At 38.0% G+C, this 18815-nt stretch overlaps 1 long non-coding RNA gene across 4 annotated transcripts in view; it reads right to left on the bottom strand.

Annotated features, from left to right (window-relative positions):
- The window catches only part of CCN2-AS1 (CCN2 antisense RNA 1), a 200374-nt gene that overhangs the window by 131187 nt on the left and 50372 nt on the right, over positions 1 to 18815 (bottom strand). The gene's annotated exons all lie outside the window — the stretch shown is intronic.

Below are 18815 nucleotides of genomic sequence, written 5' to 3'. Positions count from 1 at the left end.
TGGAAATGATCTTAACCTTTTATTCAGGACTTGCCAGATAACATTATCCACTAGCATCTATAAATGTAGAAATTTTATAATCATTTAGGTCAACTTCGTTTTAATAAGTCATCCCAATAAAATATGTGTGTTAAATACTTCAAACTACCTTCCTTTTGGGTTGGGGAAAAAACAGACATTTGACCTTATTTTTCATTTTTTTTTTCAGTTTTTGATAAGGTATGAGCATTAAGAATTAGTCCATAAGTCAAATGAGTATAAAATTAAAAAGGAAAAGCCACTAATTTTAGTGAATTTTCACTTTGGTTTACTTTCAGTTTAATGTCCTAGTTTTTTTTTTTTTTAATACACTCACAAAACATTGACTCTGTATTTAGTTTTCCGCACTCATCTTCCAATTCAATTGTTAGTTCTGCTGCTTATCTGATATAGCAATCCTTCACCTTCATAACATTTGGAGAGTTGCAGAATTCTCTACTTTGAAACGCTCTCAATGAAAGTGACTCCACTACCTCTTTCCATATGTAAACACACCACATAAAAGACATTTACCTAAATGATTCTGCAGAATTTAAGAGCAGTGAAGCTCAAAGTTTGTATTTATGCATAACTTCTAATATTCTAATTAGGAATAAAGGGAAGATAAATCTGAAAAGGATGCCTTATTGAGTCTGCAAAGTTCTGCTTTAATTCCCCACCATTTGCCACCCCTTGTGACTGAATTTCCAAGAGTTACATGGAGTAGGACATAATTCTACATGTTAGAAAAAAGAATGCTATATCTCCATGCTTTTGAGGTACCAGTTGACTCAAGAGCAGCTTGACCCAACCAAGTTAAATTCAAGTCAGTTCATAGTTATAAATATGCAAAACACTCTACTAGGCATATGGAGAAAATAAGCACAAGCTGGGCCTGAGGAGTTTCTAGGGAAAATAATACACTTCATAAAATCTTCTTGTGACACAAAAATCCATTTGTGCTAAAAGTAATTAGTCTCCCCTCTCATTTTGTGTTTTATAACTTCTCTTCCAAATAGGGTTCTGAGAATGGAATATTATTGCTATTAATCAATCCAAGACAAATGAATTATCTCTAGCCTCTGACTGTATAAAGGATTCTCCCACAGTAGCTACTTTTGCCTTATATGTAAATTCTACATATTATTAGAACATTCTGGTGGGAATTGAAAACCCACAATCAGATAAATAAGGATTTGGTAATAGATCCCATTGTATTTGTTACAAACAACATTGGTAAGTTTTTGAAAAATACTTCAAAACTAATCAGTCCCTATTTCTAATCTCAAGGTCACAATAATCAATTACTTAGTTCTAGGAATTCTAAAAAGAAGTTTTTTGAGTGTTAAGATGGGCATTTAAATGGATAGTTATTAACTTAAATTTTGAATGAACATCATGCCTTCATTAACATAATTTTTTAAATTCTACTTTAAGTTCTGGGATACATGTGCAGAACATGCAGGTTTGTCACATAGGTATACATGTGCCATGGAACATAATTATTTTTAATTTGGCTTTGTAAATTTAGAGCCGAGGGTGTAATATGAAAGTAATGTGATAGTAAGCCTTTATGCTGGTTTAAAGGAAAGTGTCATGAACATTTCACGACTTTCATAATTCCTTCCAAGTAGACAAGAAAAATTGTAAGTCTTTCTTATTATGCAACCAACAAAAAAAGTACACTCTATTGATACAATGGTTATTTAAAAAATTAACAAAAAAAATCCTGAATTTAGCCTTTCCACTTCATATTTTCATGAAATTCTAACTTACTGTAATGATCTTAAATCTATGTTGTAATGAAGTATGTTTTTTTCTTTTTAAGAATCACATACTCATTCATGTATTCATTTATCTAACGATAGGTAGGTCTTTAAGCACTTTAGAAAGCATGGTGCTTTGTTCCTTTTGATATATCATATTACCTGACAAATATGGATAGTTCACCATATCCTCTTATCTTTACAAAAGGCTGTGTGGTATCTGGAAAACCTATGGAATTTGGGGAGTTAGAGCTACCTGGCTTCACCACTTATTGGCTCTGTGATGTGGATGTGATACCTAAATAATCTTTGCAACCCTCATCCCCATCTATAAAAAGGAAGCGACCCTGAAGGGTTGTGTGAAGATGTGACTTAACCTATGTAATCAGTCCAGCACAGGTCATCAATCAATGGTGCCACTATTGTTATTATTCACATATGTGAGGGCCGCTCCTATAAACTGACGTAAGGGTGTGGACCTGTATTGCAGCAACTCCCTTCTTCCTCCAGAGCACATGGACGGCCAAAGGGAAAGTGTGTATAAAAACAGAAGACATCCACCAACCCCCAACAGCTGCTTCCTAGACTGTACATGAGGGGTCGCTGGGAAAGTAGCATGGTATGGTGGAAAGTCTGCAGTCAGTGGGGCTCCTCTGCCCACTATGGCACACAAAAGACTGTGTCACTGAAATCTGCCTGCCTTTGTGCACTCTAAAAATGAGTGGTTGTATTTCTTCAATTGACCAGTATTTGGACCGAACGATCTCTAGAGTCCCTGCTGTCCTGCCGCTCTCACAGTCAGTGCACACTGACAAGGCTGCCTATAAAGTTTCAATGAAAATATGAGACACACAGTAAAAGTCTGCCACAATAAAAAAAAAACCTATACAATAGGAATAGTTCATTAATGATAATGTACATGCTATCTTATATTATAATTTACATTGCATTTTTGTGACTTTCCGTTTTTATTTCTTTTTAATGCATCTTTTGTCTCTAAACTGACATAATTCTAGTATTTATTTTTTCAGTTAATTTTCTGAACACAGTACTTAAAAGCCAAATTGCCAGTTTAAAGCCAGATATCTGACAACACCATCATTAGAGATTACATTTGTTCTACAAACACTCAACAAACTCTCAAGGGATGAGGCATTGAGGTTGGCACTGAAGACATGGAGATGAATGATTCAATTCTGCTCTTCTGAAGCTCTCATCTGGTGAGGTATACAGACAAATCCCCACACAGTCAGAGAAAGGCTGTGGAAACATAAGCACCTAGCTGAGTCTGGAGAGCCACAAAAAGAAAGTGACATGGGCACTGAGAGTTGATGAACGGGTAAAAGTTGGCCAGACTCTACAAAGATATAAAGACATGAAACTCTTGGTAAAAATCACATTAGTGGGTGGCTGGGGGTAGATAAAGGCATTGGTTAATGAGCACAATCATACAGTTAGGTAGAAGAAACACATTCTAGTGTATGATAGCAGAGCAGGGTGATTATAGTTAACAACAATGTAATATACATTTCAAAATAGATACAAGAGAGGACTTGAAATGTTTCCAACATATAAAATGATAAATACTCGAGGTGACAGACACCCCAAGTGTTGGACATCACCTCAAGTATTGATCATTTTATATGTTAAATATTTTGTTAAATATATGTCATATTTTGTTACATGCGTAGACTGTGTAATGATCCTGACTTGATCATTACACTATCTACGCATGTAACAAAATATCACATGTACACCACAAATATTTGTATCAATTAAAAAAATCACCATTAGTCTTCACATTAGCAGTGTCCAGTGAATGCACCCATTACTAAGTGAATGAATGAATGAATGAATGAACTAATGATAAATTTGTGAGCTAGCCTCTCAAGTAACAGCTTTAGCTATGTTTTTTTCTCATCAATATAAATATTTCCACTACTTCATAGTGACTGGATGTCCACTGCATACCAAGCATCATTGTAGGAATCATGGAGAATCATAAAAGAGGGTCCCTGAATTCAATACGCATTTACTGTGCCTTGTATTTTTTCCATATGCCTGGCATTTTGCAGGTTGTGGAAGAAAAAAATACATACATACTGTTTATTAAAGCAAGAGGAGAAACAGAAGCCTAACAAAAATTACAGTATTACTAATTCTTAGTTTTGAGGCTCTCTTCATTTTACCCTGTAAGTCAGTAAATGTCTTCTTAACATTTGCTAATCCCTGAATTAGTATAGAGCAATATGTATGTTAGAGATGTGTGTGTGTGTGTGTGTGTGTGTATTTCAAAAAACTAAAGGACTGGAAATGAAAGCAACGTATTCAACATTAGAATAAAAGAAAGAAGAAAAAATTAGGATTCTGGCTCTTACAACGCAGTCCCTTCCTTAATCTTTCAATCCCCATGTTGACCCAGGTCAAAATGGCCCATTTACTCTCTTCCATGTGCCACGGCATCCCCAAAGTCAGGACTGTTGTCCCCACTACTAAGGTCTGAAATGCCCATGCTGCTCCTCTCTTCTTCATCCTTTGGCCCAGCTATGTCCACAAAAAACGTCAGGCTGGGTTTTTTCAGGTTGGTTATTTCTTCCTTTGTGGAACACTTAGTGCTAAATCCTTCTATTTCCACTTAATGACCGACCTCTGCTGACTCACCGACACTTGAGAAAGAGCTCTCAAGCCTCATGGTGTGTGGTTCTATCATCATCTGTGCCTCAAAGTGCCTCAGAAATTCTAATTTCAGGGTCATGACATATTGCGTTACACCAATCCTTCAGAGTTTTCTGTGTCCTGTGGTTCTCAAGTTACACAATTGCGAGGACCACTGGTTGAACTTTTAGTCTATATACGTCTTGCTTCTGCAAATAGATCATAACCTCCTTGTAAGCAAGAACCAGGTATCTTTTTACATCTCGCTGTGTTTAACACAATGTTAGAAACAGACCAAATGCTCAAAATATTTGTGACTTATTTATTTCATTGAGAGGTAAACAATAATAAATGACTCACTGATTTTTAATTTGGGACAGTTGAATACATTTATTAGTCTGGAAGCATTTCACACTAAGATCCTCTTATGCCTAAGGTTAGGCAACTTTGACAGCCGCATTGATTTTTAATATTCTATCAGCCAGTCAATCAGCAACTTTTCCTAAACACCTACTAGTGTTACTAGCCAATTTTCTAGAGAATTATTTACTTTAGTAAATTACGGTTAGAATAAAATAAACATGGTATTTCCTGATATTCTGAAGAACACAAACTTACCAGGTATGAATACATAAGCCTCAGAAATTTTATTTATATAATCAATAAATACAAAATATTTACCTATGAATTGATATAAATAGCTATTTTATAAATTATCATAGTTTCTAAGACCTTAGTAATTATGCAGTTTTAGCCAAATTTTATAATATTTTAAAGTTCAAGCTAGTCCCCAAACTTTACATAAAAAATTCATTCAGTGGTAGATCTGTTTGTACCAGATGCTATGTGAGAGTTATTCACAAATACTCAGAAGTCAACTTCCAAGAAAAACCTTAAATTACCTAAAAACTTAAGAAAAAAAATGGTAGCAATTTGCCAGTAAGCCCTCCGATGATCTTTGATATCTTTAAATCAGAAGAGTTTCTATACCCTTTCCCTTTCAGAATTTTAGAGATTTTAGAAAGTCTTTGCCCCAAAATGTCATTAAAATGTTATCATTTTCTACATATTCCATTATGTTAAAAAAGGTTGAAAAGCATTGCTCTACCCTAATACTATAATAGAATTAGAAAATTATATAAATAGTTACATCAGAAAATATCAATATGAAAATAAAATTATGCCTCTCTCACACTGGTGAAGTCTGTATCAGCTAGGACATTTTATGGTACAATATCGAGAACTTTTTAAAATAGGGTTAGGGGAACATATTGGCTCATGAAATTGATAAATTGAGAGATGGAGTAACTTTAGGCAAGGCTTGATTTAGTACCAAAAATAAGGTTTTCTTCTGTGCTTATGCTCTGTATTTCACTGCAGTACTTTCATTCTTAAACTCCACACATTCGTCTCCCAGCAACCACAGGTGCTCCCAGAATGTCCAGAGCATCCCCAGACCTCACATCTTCACACTACCTCCCTCAGCTGCTTATTCAGATAGTTTATGCTGATCGTTTGGTATTCCAAGGATACACACACATGCACACACACACGTGTACACGTATATATAATAAATATATATAAATTTACATATATAATTTATATATATAAAGATATATATATATCTCTTATTTCCAAGATGTCAATTAGACAGTAGAATAAACTTGGAGATGAAGACTAGAATTTTCTTTAAAATGAAATGGAACGTATTTTAAAATACCAAGGGCATCACATCCAGTAACGATAAAATTACAAAATTTTTGTTTCACTGTGAATGTGTATGTGTGAGTATATATTTACTGGATCAAACAGAAAAAAAGCTTCCTACTAGAGTCAAAAGTTTATTAGGGTTGGGCATGACAGCTCACGCCTGTAACCCCAACTCTTTGTGAGTCTGAGGCAAGATGATCACTTGAGGCCAGGAATTTGAGACTAGCCTGGGCAACATACCGAGACACCGTCTCTACAAAAAGAAATTAAAAATTAACCAGGTGTGATGGTGCATTCCTGTAGTCCTAGCTACTTTGGAGGCTGAGATGGAAGAATTGTTTGAGCCCAGGAGGTCGAGGCTGCATGAACCATAACCACTGCACTCCAGCCTAGGCAACAGAGTGAGACCCTGTTTCAAGAAAAAAAAAAATAGTTTATGTGATTGAACATACTTAGCCACTGCTCCAAGTGCTGGAGAGCAATCGTGAGCAACTTATAAAGCCATGAAACAGCATGATAAAATGTGTAAGTTATTCAAATGCACTGGTAAAACCAAAGAATAGGGCAGGAGCCCTGGAACTGATAGATAAGAATGGAGAACATAGAAGCCAGACAAAGGCTCTTATCTTAGAGGTAATGGGAGCCACACAAAGGTTTGGTTTTAAGCAGGTGAATAAGCACTGTAGATTGATAGATTTCTCAGGCAGCAGTGGAGAGAATGAATTGGAGGGCAATAGTGTGAGTTAAAAGACCAGTTAATAGCAGAAAGACTAATTCAGTGGTCCAAGCAAAAGATGTTGAGGGTATGATGTGTTAGGAAGTTATCATGAGAGGTAGAGTCCACAGAGCTTTATGAATCATCAAATATAAGGACTGAAAGAGAAAAAAGAATACAAGACAACATACAAGCCTCAGTATGGAGTGACTGGGAAGACAGTGTTCTAATCACTAAGATGGGTTCACATCTAAAGGCAAAAGATTTTGAAGTAGAGATGAGTAACAAATTTAGTTTTTACTATGCTTACTTAACATCTGAATAGGACATTCAGATTAATGTGTTGTTAATAGCACAAATGAACTCAGAACCGAGTTTCCGGTTGGGATCCAGACAGCAGGCAACCATCAACAATGTGACAGGAGAAGAATATGTAAGAAGAGGACTAGGGACAAAAGACTACAGGTCACTCACATCATAGGGGTAGGCAGAGGGAAATGAGTCTGCAAAGGAGAACAAAGGAAATGGTCAAAGAGATGGACAGAATGGGATTCAACTAAATACCTACAGAGAGATCAAATTGTATGAGAGCTGGAAAGAATCCACTGGATTTGGCAACAAAGAGGTTATTTGGTGATAATTTGCAGTGCCATGGTCAGGAGCTTTATTACAATGGGTTGAATGGTAATATGAAGGTGTGTATTTGGAGACAGTAAACACAGGGGATTTGTGTGTCACTGTGTGAGTATGTGTGTGTTTTAGGAGCTTCAGTGCAAAAACAAGCAATGAAAAGAGGCTGTTAAGACAATGGGAGGGTTGTTTTATTTCATTTGTTTTGGGGTTTTTCTTTATTATGTGAGAGAAATGTAGCCATGTTTATAGGTTGGGAAGAAGAAGCTGCTAGAGAAAAACAAATTGAAAGACAGGAGAAAATGAAAAGAAAAGAGAGCACATGGTTCCATAAGAGATGTAGTGCCACAGGTTCCAAAGAGCACATGGTTCCATAGGTGACATGGTCCCATAGGTTCCAAGGAGCACATGGTTCCATAGGTGACTTGGTTCCATAGGTTCCAAAGAACACATGGTTCCATAGGAGACATGGTTCCACAGGTTCCAAGGAGCACATGGTTCCATAGGAGACATGGTTCCACAGGTTACAAAGAGCACATGGTTTCATAGGAGACATGGTTCCATAGGTTTCAAGGAGCACATGGTTCCATATGTGACATGGTTCCATAGGAGACTTATGCTTTTGGATCTAAAGCCCAAGTGGAGGTCTGTCTGAACCAGCACTATTCTGTCAAACTTTCTGCAAAGATAAAAATGTTCTCCATGCCATCCAAACAATAACCGTTAGCTGTACATGGCTACTGAGTATTTGAAATGCAACCAGTACAACTGAAAAACTGAATTTTAACATTGGTTAATTTAAATGAAATAGCCCTATGTGGCTAGTGGCTGTAGAACTGAACACTGCAGCTCAAACTAAAGAAGCGAATAGGAAGCTGAGAGCCCATCAATCCTGGAGACAAAGGCTGGAGGTTTTCACACCTGGTAGTCTCATGTAGAAAGGAAGGCTGATCAGCAGGGAGGCAGAGGAAGGGTTGACAGGGTAGGACCTTGGAGGGAAGCAGTTAGGCTTGGAAGGGACACAAAGGAAAGGATGGCAAAGAACTGACCAGAGCAACTAAAAGCACAACATAGTAGAACCGAGGACACATCTGAGACTAGAGACCACAAATGTATGGCAGACACTATAGGAACAACTAAGGCAGGCACTGGCTTGAAGAAAGGTCATGAGGCCAAAGGCCAGAAGTGTAACAAGGGGCTGTTGGCATAAAACAGTATGCCATGGAGAGAGAGGAAGCAAAACCGTGTGTCCAGGAGAAAAGGAAGGGGCAAGAGACCAAAGTCACGATCAGGTCAAAACATTGATGTGAAGAATAAATGAGCAAGAGAGGCCGGGGGCGGTGGCTCACGCCTGTAATCCCAGCACTTTGGGAGACCGAGGTGGGCAGATCATGAGGTCAGGAGATGGAGACCATCCTGGCTAACACGGTGAAACCCCGTCTCTACTAAAAGTACAAAAAACTTAGCCAGGCGTGGTGGCGGGCGCCTGTAGTCCCAGCTGCTCGGGAGGCTGAGGCAGGAGAATGGCGTGAACCCAGGAGGTGGAGCTTGCAGTGAGCCGAGATCGCCCAACTGCACTCCAGCCTGGGCGACAGAGCGAGACTCCGTCTCAAAAAAAAAAGAATAAATGAGCAAGAGAGAGCAGGAGAGGACAGAAATGTAGGGCTGTATTAGTCTGTACTCACATTGCTATAAAGAACTACGTGAGACTGGATAATCTATAAAGAAGAGAGGTTTAATTGGTTCATGGTTCTGCAGGCCGTAAAGGAAGCATGACTGGGGAGGTCTCGGGAAACTTGCAATCACAGCGGAAAGCAAAGAGGAAAGAGACACGTCCTACATGGCTGGAGCAGGAAGAAAAGAACAAAGGGGGACACTTTTAAACAAGCAGATTTCATGAGAACTCTCTCATGAGACAGCACCAGGGTGATGGTGCTAAACCTTCAGAAACCACCCCTATGATCCAATCACCTCCCACCAGCTCCACCTCCAACACTGGGGATTACAATCTTACATGAGATTTGGTGGGGACACAGAGCCAAACCATATCAAGGACCCAAGGGGATTGCAGAAGTTCTATGAAATGGCAGGGTGTATGGCAAATCCTGACTAGCTTAGAAGAGACAGGCAAGAGGAGCTTAGAAGTGAGTTTGGATAGTGATTTGGGTGGATATTGGGGTAACTTACGATGGTGGCAGGACTTTGAGCGTGAAAACCCGAAAAAATATATATATATATATATATATGAGATACTATACACACACATTATATATACACACATACATATATACAGTATATATTATAGGAAAGCTGACCAATTATCTGCAAAGATGATCCACTCCCAAAGGGAAAGTTCAGGTTGGTACCATGATCAAACCCCCCAACTTTTAAGAACGTCCATTTGGTTTCTCTAGGAACTTTTGTTGTATTTCTTTTTCTTCAAAGAGGCAGAGAAAATAACCATGTTTTTGACTGTCAGTGTTATAATATTAGGTCACAGCTTTTGTAGCTATTAAATGCAATTGTATTATTCAAAGGGACATTTCATTTTCCACTTGCACAGCTCTCTCTATTTTGGAATTGTCTCCTCTAGTTATTGAACTTAATAAGCTTAAATGCCCCCATATGTACAGAAAGGGTTCAGTATTATCCATATTGTGAGGCTGTATGACATCATTGTATCCAAGCCCTTTCATGGTCATTTTACACAGACTAGCACTTTCTCACTTTCTTTCTCTCTCTCCCTCTCTCTTTCACGTCATGACTTTAATGGCAAAAACTAGAAACTTACATTTTCTCCCTTCTCCTACAGCATTAATATTACCCACATGCATGTGCACGCCCACACATTCACCCATGGGGACATTTTCCAGACACAGCTTTTGCAACTATCACAAAATTAATAAATCCTATATTAAACGGTGCCCAATTTTTTACTATAAATATTTCTACTTTCACATAGGTATTAATCTAATCTGTTTAGATGTTTCAGATATGGACGTTTCTAATAATAATGATAATTGGTACCAAATTACTTAAACTGTATTTCTTGCTGCTTTCAAGAACTTATACTCCCCCCTGTGGCAATTTGATGACAAAAACAAAAACAAAACAGAAAAAAACAGGATCCTGAAGACAGAATCACAATTCATAAATCATTCACAAGTTCAAAATAACGGTATGTTTCTTGCTAGAAAAAGGCTGTCAATACAAACTGTCATGACATTCTTTTTTTTTAAGTGTAATCTGCATAATACATGACCGTGAAAACTACTGAGCTAAGTGCTAATACGTAGTAAATGTGCTAAGGCAGAAATTTAGTATCTAAAAATATTCAGAGATGAACTAAAAGGACAGTTTTATTTTACTTTAATGAACATTTATTGAGTGTTTAGTCTCTGACAAGCATTGTTCTAGATGTTTTAGGATTTTTTGGTATTTAACCCTTGCAAAATGTCCCAACAATTCTATGAAATCTTATGAAGTGGGTACCATTATTATCTCCAGGTTAACAGAAGCAGAGACTTAGAGAGATTAAGTAGTTTGCTTAATGTCATGCATTAAGCCATATTAACATTTAATCATATTATTAAATAGAGAAATAGAGAAAAAAAATCTCTCCTGAAATGGTGAAAAAGAGAAATACAAAGTACAGCAAATTTTATATTCAGATCAATTTGATGATATATCTATTTCTAAAACATTCTAAATCAAGATAAAAATTAGGACTCACTCAATCCAAAATGGTGGCTAATTTTATGAAATGCTTTAAACTATAAAATTAGCTTACTTTAAGTGACAAAATTTCACACTAGAATGTCAAGCTACAATTGTTAAAAATCTTGTTTAATCAATTAAATATGAGCCAAGTTTATTTTGGCAGGTTTTATTCTTACGATCTTGAAAACAAAGCATAAACACCAAAGTTTTTTTTTTTTAAATGATGTACTAGTGTCTTCCCCACCTCACTGCACCTTTGCTTTTCTAGGCCTAGCTTGGTGGAATATTGGGCTGCCAGAAACAGTACAACAGGAGTATTTCCCTACCACCAGCAATGCCAGGAAAAATAAGGAAGTCCAAGTAAAATGACCCCCTGCAACACTTTAGTAAAGGATGCCAGGTGATGTAGCTATGACATAAATACATTTGGTGAGTGGCTTCTGCCTTGTGGCCTCCTGCCCTCACATGCAGGGTCTAAGAATTCTCCTCGTCCTTGGCGCTTACGGTAGACAAAATGGCTTCCAGATGGCCGTTTCTGCTCAACATAAGGTCATTTTCCCTTCTTGGAAAGTTGGATATGATGCATGAGAAATACAGGAGTTTGGACTTCTCGAGTTCACTTTAGATGAAGGCCAGGCTTCAGTGTGTAAAATGAGAACACATGAGAGAAAAGTGGTAACACCACACTGTGGGTCCCCCCTCTCGGGGAGGCTTCAGAAGCTGACAAGGAAAAACCAGCTTGACCCATGAGGGATGGGCCTGCCTCGAAAGCGATCAAAGCCAACCAGGGAGGATACATTTGACTGTGGCAGTGCTCAGCCCTACTGCAAAGCAACATTGGTTCAAAGTCCATCTGAAACTGGACTGGAAGTTTGCTTGCTTACCTTCTGAGCTGAAAGCAAATAGTAGGAGCCTCAGCAATCAGTCAAATACGGAAACAGCAGGGAAAACCACAATCAAGAAGAACCAACATAGAGACGTTAGAAATGATGAAAATGCCACAAAAGATTCAATTGGACAAAATAAGTTTTTATCATCTGTATATGAGAAATAGCTTAATAGTGATATTATTTCCAGACATGAGCAAGTCAATGGTTATATGAAATGTAATCCTGTAGTTGTTAACTTTCACACACATGTGCAGGTCAATAAGAAAATTCCCTCATCATAACCCCACCATTCCTAGACAACCCTCTCTCTCTGCCATGTGTAGTTATGACAAATCGCATTCCATTAACAACATGAAACTAGTTATGATTCCAATCAAATCCTTCCATGGTTAAAGGAGAGAGGGAGAAAGCTGTAAACCTGAAAGGCAAAGCATATTCAGTTTGAGGAAAGTGCATTTTCAGTTAAGGCAAGTTCATAAAATAAATATCAATAACATGGCAGGACATGTTTATTAGGGGATACTCGTGAAAAACCTATGTTGATAGTAGACATTGCTTCAGTGCTGATGGTTTGTCCCAGACTCTGTCATGATATTTATCCCTAAGGGTAGCTTATCAGTGAATGATACAATTATTCAAGAAGACCTTCATGATGTCTATGGTTGGTCCCAGTCTCAGCCGAAACAAGACTGCATAGGGTTAGACTGAACGCTTTCAGTGTGGGCTGAGGCTGACATCAGAGCAGAGCACACCCTGATATTAAGCCTCCCAAAGCATACCCATCATCTTATTCATTTTTTCCTTTTTTAGCTGCATCAGTTAGTTAGCGGATAAGAAGAACATATCTGTCTACATAGCAACATCACCAAAATCTTAATTGTTAAAAAAAAAAAAAAAAAGCAAATCTAAGCCCAAATTTCTCTACTAATACAGGTCAGTAAACATTTTCTTTCTACTTCATGTTTATCTCAGACCACGGCACAATACAATAGTGACTGCCAGTTAGCCCACAGGTGTTTATATGCCTTCTAGGGTGTGTCCTTTAAGAGTTTAAGATCTGAGATAACTATCTTAAGGACACACAGTGTTTAGAGATCACCATATATAGAATGGAAAGAAAAGAAGCCGTGAAGTTTGGAAGGAAAGGCAAGGGGTGTTCTCTTTAGAAGAACTGAATTTAAATTCACTTGTCCCTTCTCCACCTCTAACCAGGCTTGTGTATGTTAGCATTATTGGACCTCAATTTCCTCACCTGCAATATGGGTAGAATAATACCTAATGCGATTGTTATGATAATGAAGTAAGATGGTAACCGTGAAAGGGCTTTGTAAATTAAAAATTTCTACATAAACAAAAGAGAATGCAGTCAAAATTTTGAGTATCTATTTTAGGCACCCAGATAGAGTTCTAAGAAGCGTTCCCGCTAAATTGTTCAGATAAAATTGGCATCGTGCATTCTAACATCAAATTAAACAATGCATTAGTTGACTTTTACTTCAAATCTGATGATGTCAGGATTTTAAATAGAATGTGGTTTTTCTTCATATGTGGTGAAAGTTCTGACTTAGAAGATAAGATACCTTCTCAAAAAGCCTTATCCAGGTGCTCAGATTTTAATATATGATTCCCATAGGCATGGTTATTTAAAGATTTACACACAGGAAAATAGTTTAGAAACTCTTTGGATGATTCAAACAACTTGGTTTTTAGCATTCTAGAACATACTGGCTACCAAGTTTGCTTTTAATTTGAAAACTTGTCACCATCATGGTAGCACAGTTCACATTACAAAATGAAATGAAAGAAAACTGTCAACCCAAATATATGTAAAGTGTTAAAGTCTGTAGCATCACATTAAGTAAAATACCACCTTGGTTTCCAAGAAATACAAATCTAAAGAAAATGTGATGGACACAAGCAATCATAATTTTTTGGTTGTTTCTTTATCATTTGCATACCATATTCTTATTAGTGATAAGTTACACATTTTTCACTGAAGAAAGGAAGACTGTTAGGAACTCCCTAACTCTCCCCATCCTCCACAAATCAATGAAAACTATGAACATATAATGAAGATGAAGGGAGTAGATGCTATCAGGTGACAAAAATAAGCTGAGCATAGAATTTTGTTTTAGGTATCCTGAAAACTATGATTAAAATGCATGCCCACATTATCATCGAAGTGACAATATAAGGTATATAAGAAGCATAAGACAAATTTAAAAGTTTCATCTGTGGCCCGGCGCAGGGGCTTACGCCTGTAATCCCAGCACTTTGGGAGGCTGAGATGGGCTGATCTCTTGAGCTCAGGAGTTCGAGACCAGCCTGGGCAACATGGCAAAACCCCATCTCTACAAAAAAAAAAAAAAAAATTCTTTTAATTAGCTGGATATGGTGGTGCACACCTGTAGTCCCAGCTATCCCAGCTACTTGGGAGGCTGAGGCAGGAAGATCACTTGAGCCCAGGAGGCAGAGGTTGCAGTGAGCCAAGATCATGGCACTACATTCCACCCTGGGAGACAGAGCCAGACCCTATTTCAAAAAGAAAAAAAGTTTTCATTTGTTAAATGTCTCTATCAATCCTGAATATCTAATCTAATAAAATAAATAAATAAATAAGAGGTAGGATTTGATTTTCTCTGAGCTCTCACCTAGTTTTAACACTCTAAAACCCATGCAGAGCTGGACACTGTTATAAAATCAAACTGTGACAGGCTTTTACAGTCAATCTGAGTTGGGCTTAGTTTTGAGAGCCACTGAAGAATGGAAGAGAAGGGCAATTTTAAAACTCTAATACCTTTATGAAAGTGCTTTCATAAATATTGTCTCCTTGAGCTGCACATTAACTGTGAACAGGTGGGAAATTTCAGGCTCAGAGAGAGTAGGTGTCTTCCCTGAGGTCACTGGCAAGCAAATGGCAGGTATGGAGCTCACACCTTCACCTCCTAGCCAGTCCCCTAGGCTCCACCTAATGGTATTCCAGGGAGTTTGAAGTTGTGAGAAGGGACCTCAGGCCTCTTGGCTAGAGGTGGGAGCACATTTCCAGGGATGAATGATGGGGTCTGGCTTAATCTGCACCCCTTTCCCACCCCGCAGCAGAATCCCTAGGAATACATTCATGTATATTTCACACTAGTCCTTTCAAAATATTTATCCTTTCACTTACTTCTATTATTTGAGATAAGATAGCTAGTCCCAATTCTCTCTTCCTCCTAAACCTATTGATTGGGTGTCCCCAAATCACACATCTTAAGAAATGCTTATTTCCTCTGTTTTTCATTCCCACTCACTTAAATATCACCTTAAGTATCACCAAGGGGATGCTTCACATTTAGCCCTGATGAAGCAAGGGGCTGTAAATACTCCTGGTTGCTAAACGGTGATGAATTTGAGATTCTAACCTGTCGAGGACAGTGTAAGAGACCACCAGGCTCATTCCTACCTAGCAGCATCCTCATCTGACACTATCTTAGATGAACAAAAGCTGACTAGAGGCAACACAGGATTCTAAGTAAACTACTTTAAAAAAAAAAAGAGTCAAATTAACAAAATAAGTGAAACAAACAGTAAGTTGAAGGGATATCATCTTACAAAACAAAACTTCCTTTCTCACCCCTCTGGCCTCCAACTCTATGGACAAGCGAGGAACAGGCAAACATAAAACACAAACCACATGCAACGGCCTTGACTGCCTTCTGACAAATACCTTTGCATTAGAAAATATCCTAAGAAAGTCAGAGAACTAATTATAAGGAGGAAAAGGCATGAAGGTAATGAATGTAATTTAGATAGTAAACATCCGCGTTTATCTTCCCCGCCATGAACTCCCAGCAAGTACGCCCTCTCCTTAACCTTCATCTTAAGCAAACAGGAGGTCATGTCAGCCAAACCAGGGTCCCTGAAGATTTCAGAATAATATTTATTACTATTTTACAAAAGGCTTCTGGGATACCATTTTTTTTTGTAGAATTAATTTACATGATTGAATTTGAGGCACGCTAGAAACATCAGAAACCTCCCCCTGACCCACCATAAGGACAAATCGCTCACTGTCCAGATGCCCATATACGGCCAGACTTCCTCCTATAAGTCTGACAGCTCCGTGTATGCATTGCGTATGGGTCTTGGCTCTGAGTCACATTCCTCCGGCATGTTTCCCTGGGAGCTTTGATTTCCGCTTTGAGGGCTGGCACTGACTCCTACTTGCTCTTATAAGAAAATGTCTACAACTAAAAGTTGAAAATGTGCAAGATTCCTTCTTTAAGTACACAAACACTCCAACTCTGGCCACTTTTCTGTAGTCCTGCCAGGTTTTCTCTGTGTCTGATACCTGATCAAGAAACCTTTTTTTTTTAGGGAGGAAAAAACAACAAAAAACTTAAGGGAAGGAATGTAATACATCCACAGCTGAACATCTTACAAGACTTAACCAAACGACCAGTACAAATGATGCCCTAGTAGACACACACACATACCTTATATAGCTTGGTAAACAGGACTCAGTGGCCAGCTTAGTTAATTCCTCATTTTACCACGAGGAAAAAATGCTCTCTAAAAAGCATTTGCTAGATAAATACTTGCTTACAAGTCAAAATTAGTGCATCTTAACCATTTTGCACACAAATTCAAAGATCTTTTTCTCCCAACTCTGACCTGCTGTCAATCAAAGGGGCTGGGGTAAGTCAAAGTTGGATGAAGTTATAAGAAGCCACTATTTCCCACTTTACCGCCCAGGCACACACAAACATTTGCTGAGTCATTGATAATAGTGCAAGAATTCAGATCCCATGGCATGAATTATGGATGGAGTATCAGCCTTTCCCTTTGAGTTTCCTGGCATTTGATGGTCCATATCACAATAAAAACATACTTCTGAGTCTGTGAATGTCTTGGGTGTCTTCTCTCATTCTCTCTCTCTCTGGGTGTGTGTGCATGTATGTGTCTGTCTGTCTCTGTGTCACTCTCTTAATAATAGTCTTTTAACTCCTTCAAAAAGAGTTTTGATCATAAAGCCTCAATCTAACCTGATAATGCACAGAAACTTTTTCTTTCCTGAGATTTCATATGTTCTATATATTTCAATATGCTTATTTCCTCTTAAGCAACATTAAAATCATCTATTTGGAACTGACTATAGATTTTTTTGAGACTTCGAGGGACTATGAGAATTTTATAGTAAAACCAAATTCTTTCTTTTGACATTTTTAACAACAGAGCAGAATGGTAATATACTTATTATACACAGAGATTGAAAAAAAATCAAGAAAATCTGAAAAAAATAAAGCACCAATTCCCTGGAATTTTCATCTACTCAGCCCTCACTGAACCCTATTAAATTAAAAAAATTATGATTACTTTCATTTTTTAAACAGAAATGGGAATATGGCTCCTACGTGTGACTTCCCTGAGATCTGCGAAAGGCAGTTCCAAGAATACAACCTAGGCCATCTAACTATAACCCAGTACAACAATTTATCCCCTCCATGAATGAGTCTCCCTGCTGCAGGCATGAAGATGGTGGTAGCTTTCAGACTCTCCTGAGGATTCAGAAATTCCCCAACCCTTCTCCCACCTACCTCACTCTGCAAGCTAGGAGAGCTCACCACCAAGCCCACATCCCACCTTAGGTGAGACTCGCACTGCACATCCCTACCCTTCCCCAGCCACCACACCTTTCCAACCATTAGAGGTAGATGTAATTGGGGGTTTAGGTCTTGAAAGGTTTCACTGTGGCTTCCCACATATTTTGGACTTTTAAAATCATCCACAAGGGAAGAAAAAGTTGAGGGCCAAGTTGCCTTTAATACACATGTGGCTATTAAGTTAACTTGGAATGTTCCTTCTTTAAATAGGAACTCTTAGGCCTCTTCTTTTTGAGGAATGCTTGGAAAGGACATTAAATAACAATGACGAAAATTCTTCCTGAGCTTCAGAGGGCACCCCCACCCCTTTGCTGGCCATTCACACTATTGACATGCAACTACACTCTATAACATGTGGCTGGCTTAACGAGGTAATCGTGCACAGATGATATGCTCTATGCTGAAGTTGGAGTGGTTATATTTCTTCTTGGCTATTTTTCAACAGACTGTACTGAAACTTTAAAAATTTGATCAGTTTAAACAGGCTGTTTTCAAATGATAAATCTATAATGCATTGTTTCTAAAGCCGATCTTTGCACCACAAACAGATATGCTTATCTTGAACCCATGCTCTGAAGCATCAACAACTTAAAGGAATCTACTCATTGGTAACACCAATGTCAAATGATGCGGCATTACAGAATACAAAAATGGTATGGCCCTAGAATCACTCTCTTTATATAAAATGGGAACTGGAGGTATTAACAAAAAAGCCACTAAACAACATAGATTCCAAATGAAAGCACAGTGAATTAGTTGGGTCTTTAGTGAAGCTAAGTAGCACTATATTAAGAAATGGAGATATGCTTAGGTTTATTGGCCATATTCAACATCTGCACACACCCAGGGAGAATAAAGCCTATTCTTTCCTTGTCCTGACCTCACTCCCTCAGGCTGCATGTTCCTTGGGTAATGAGAAGTCACAATCACTATTCATAGATGTGTGGGGAGTCACTAAAAATATATTATTCACTGTCAATCTTAGTTTATATCCAGATACAACAGGGTACACTGCTCTTGTAATGGAATCAGACTTCTTATTTTAACAAGACAAACCAAATCCAATCCA

The sequence above is a fragment of the Homo sapiens genome, chromosome 6, assembly GCF_000001405.40.
Source record: "Homo sapiens chromosome 6, GRCh38.p14 Primary Assembly".
NCBI classification, from domain to species: domain Eukaryota; kingdom Metazoa; phylum Chordata; class Mammalia; order Primates; family Hominidae; genus Homo; species Homo sapiens.
Note: the sequence above shows the minus strand (reverse complement) of the source record. Positions and strands in the feature narration are given on the sequence as shown.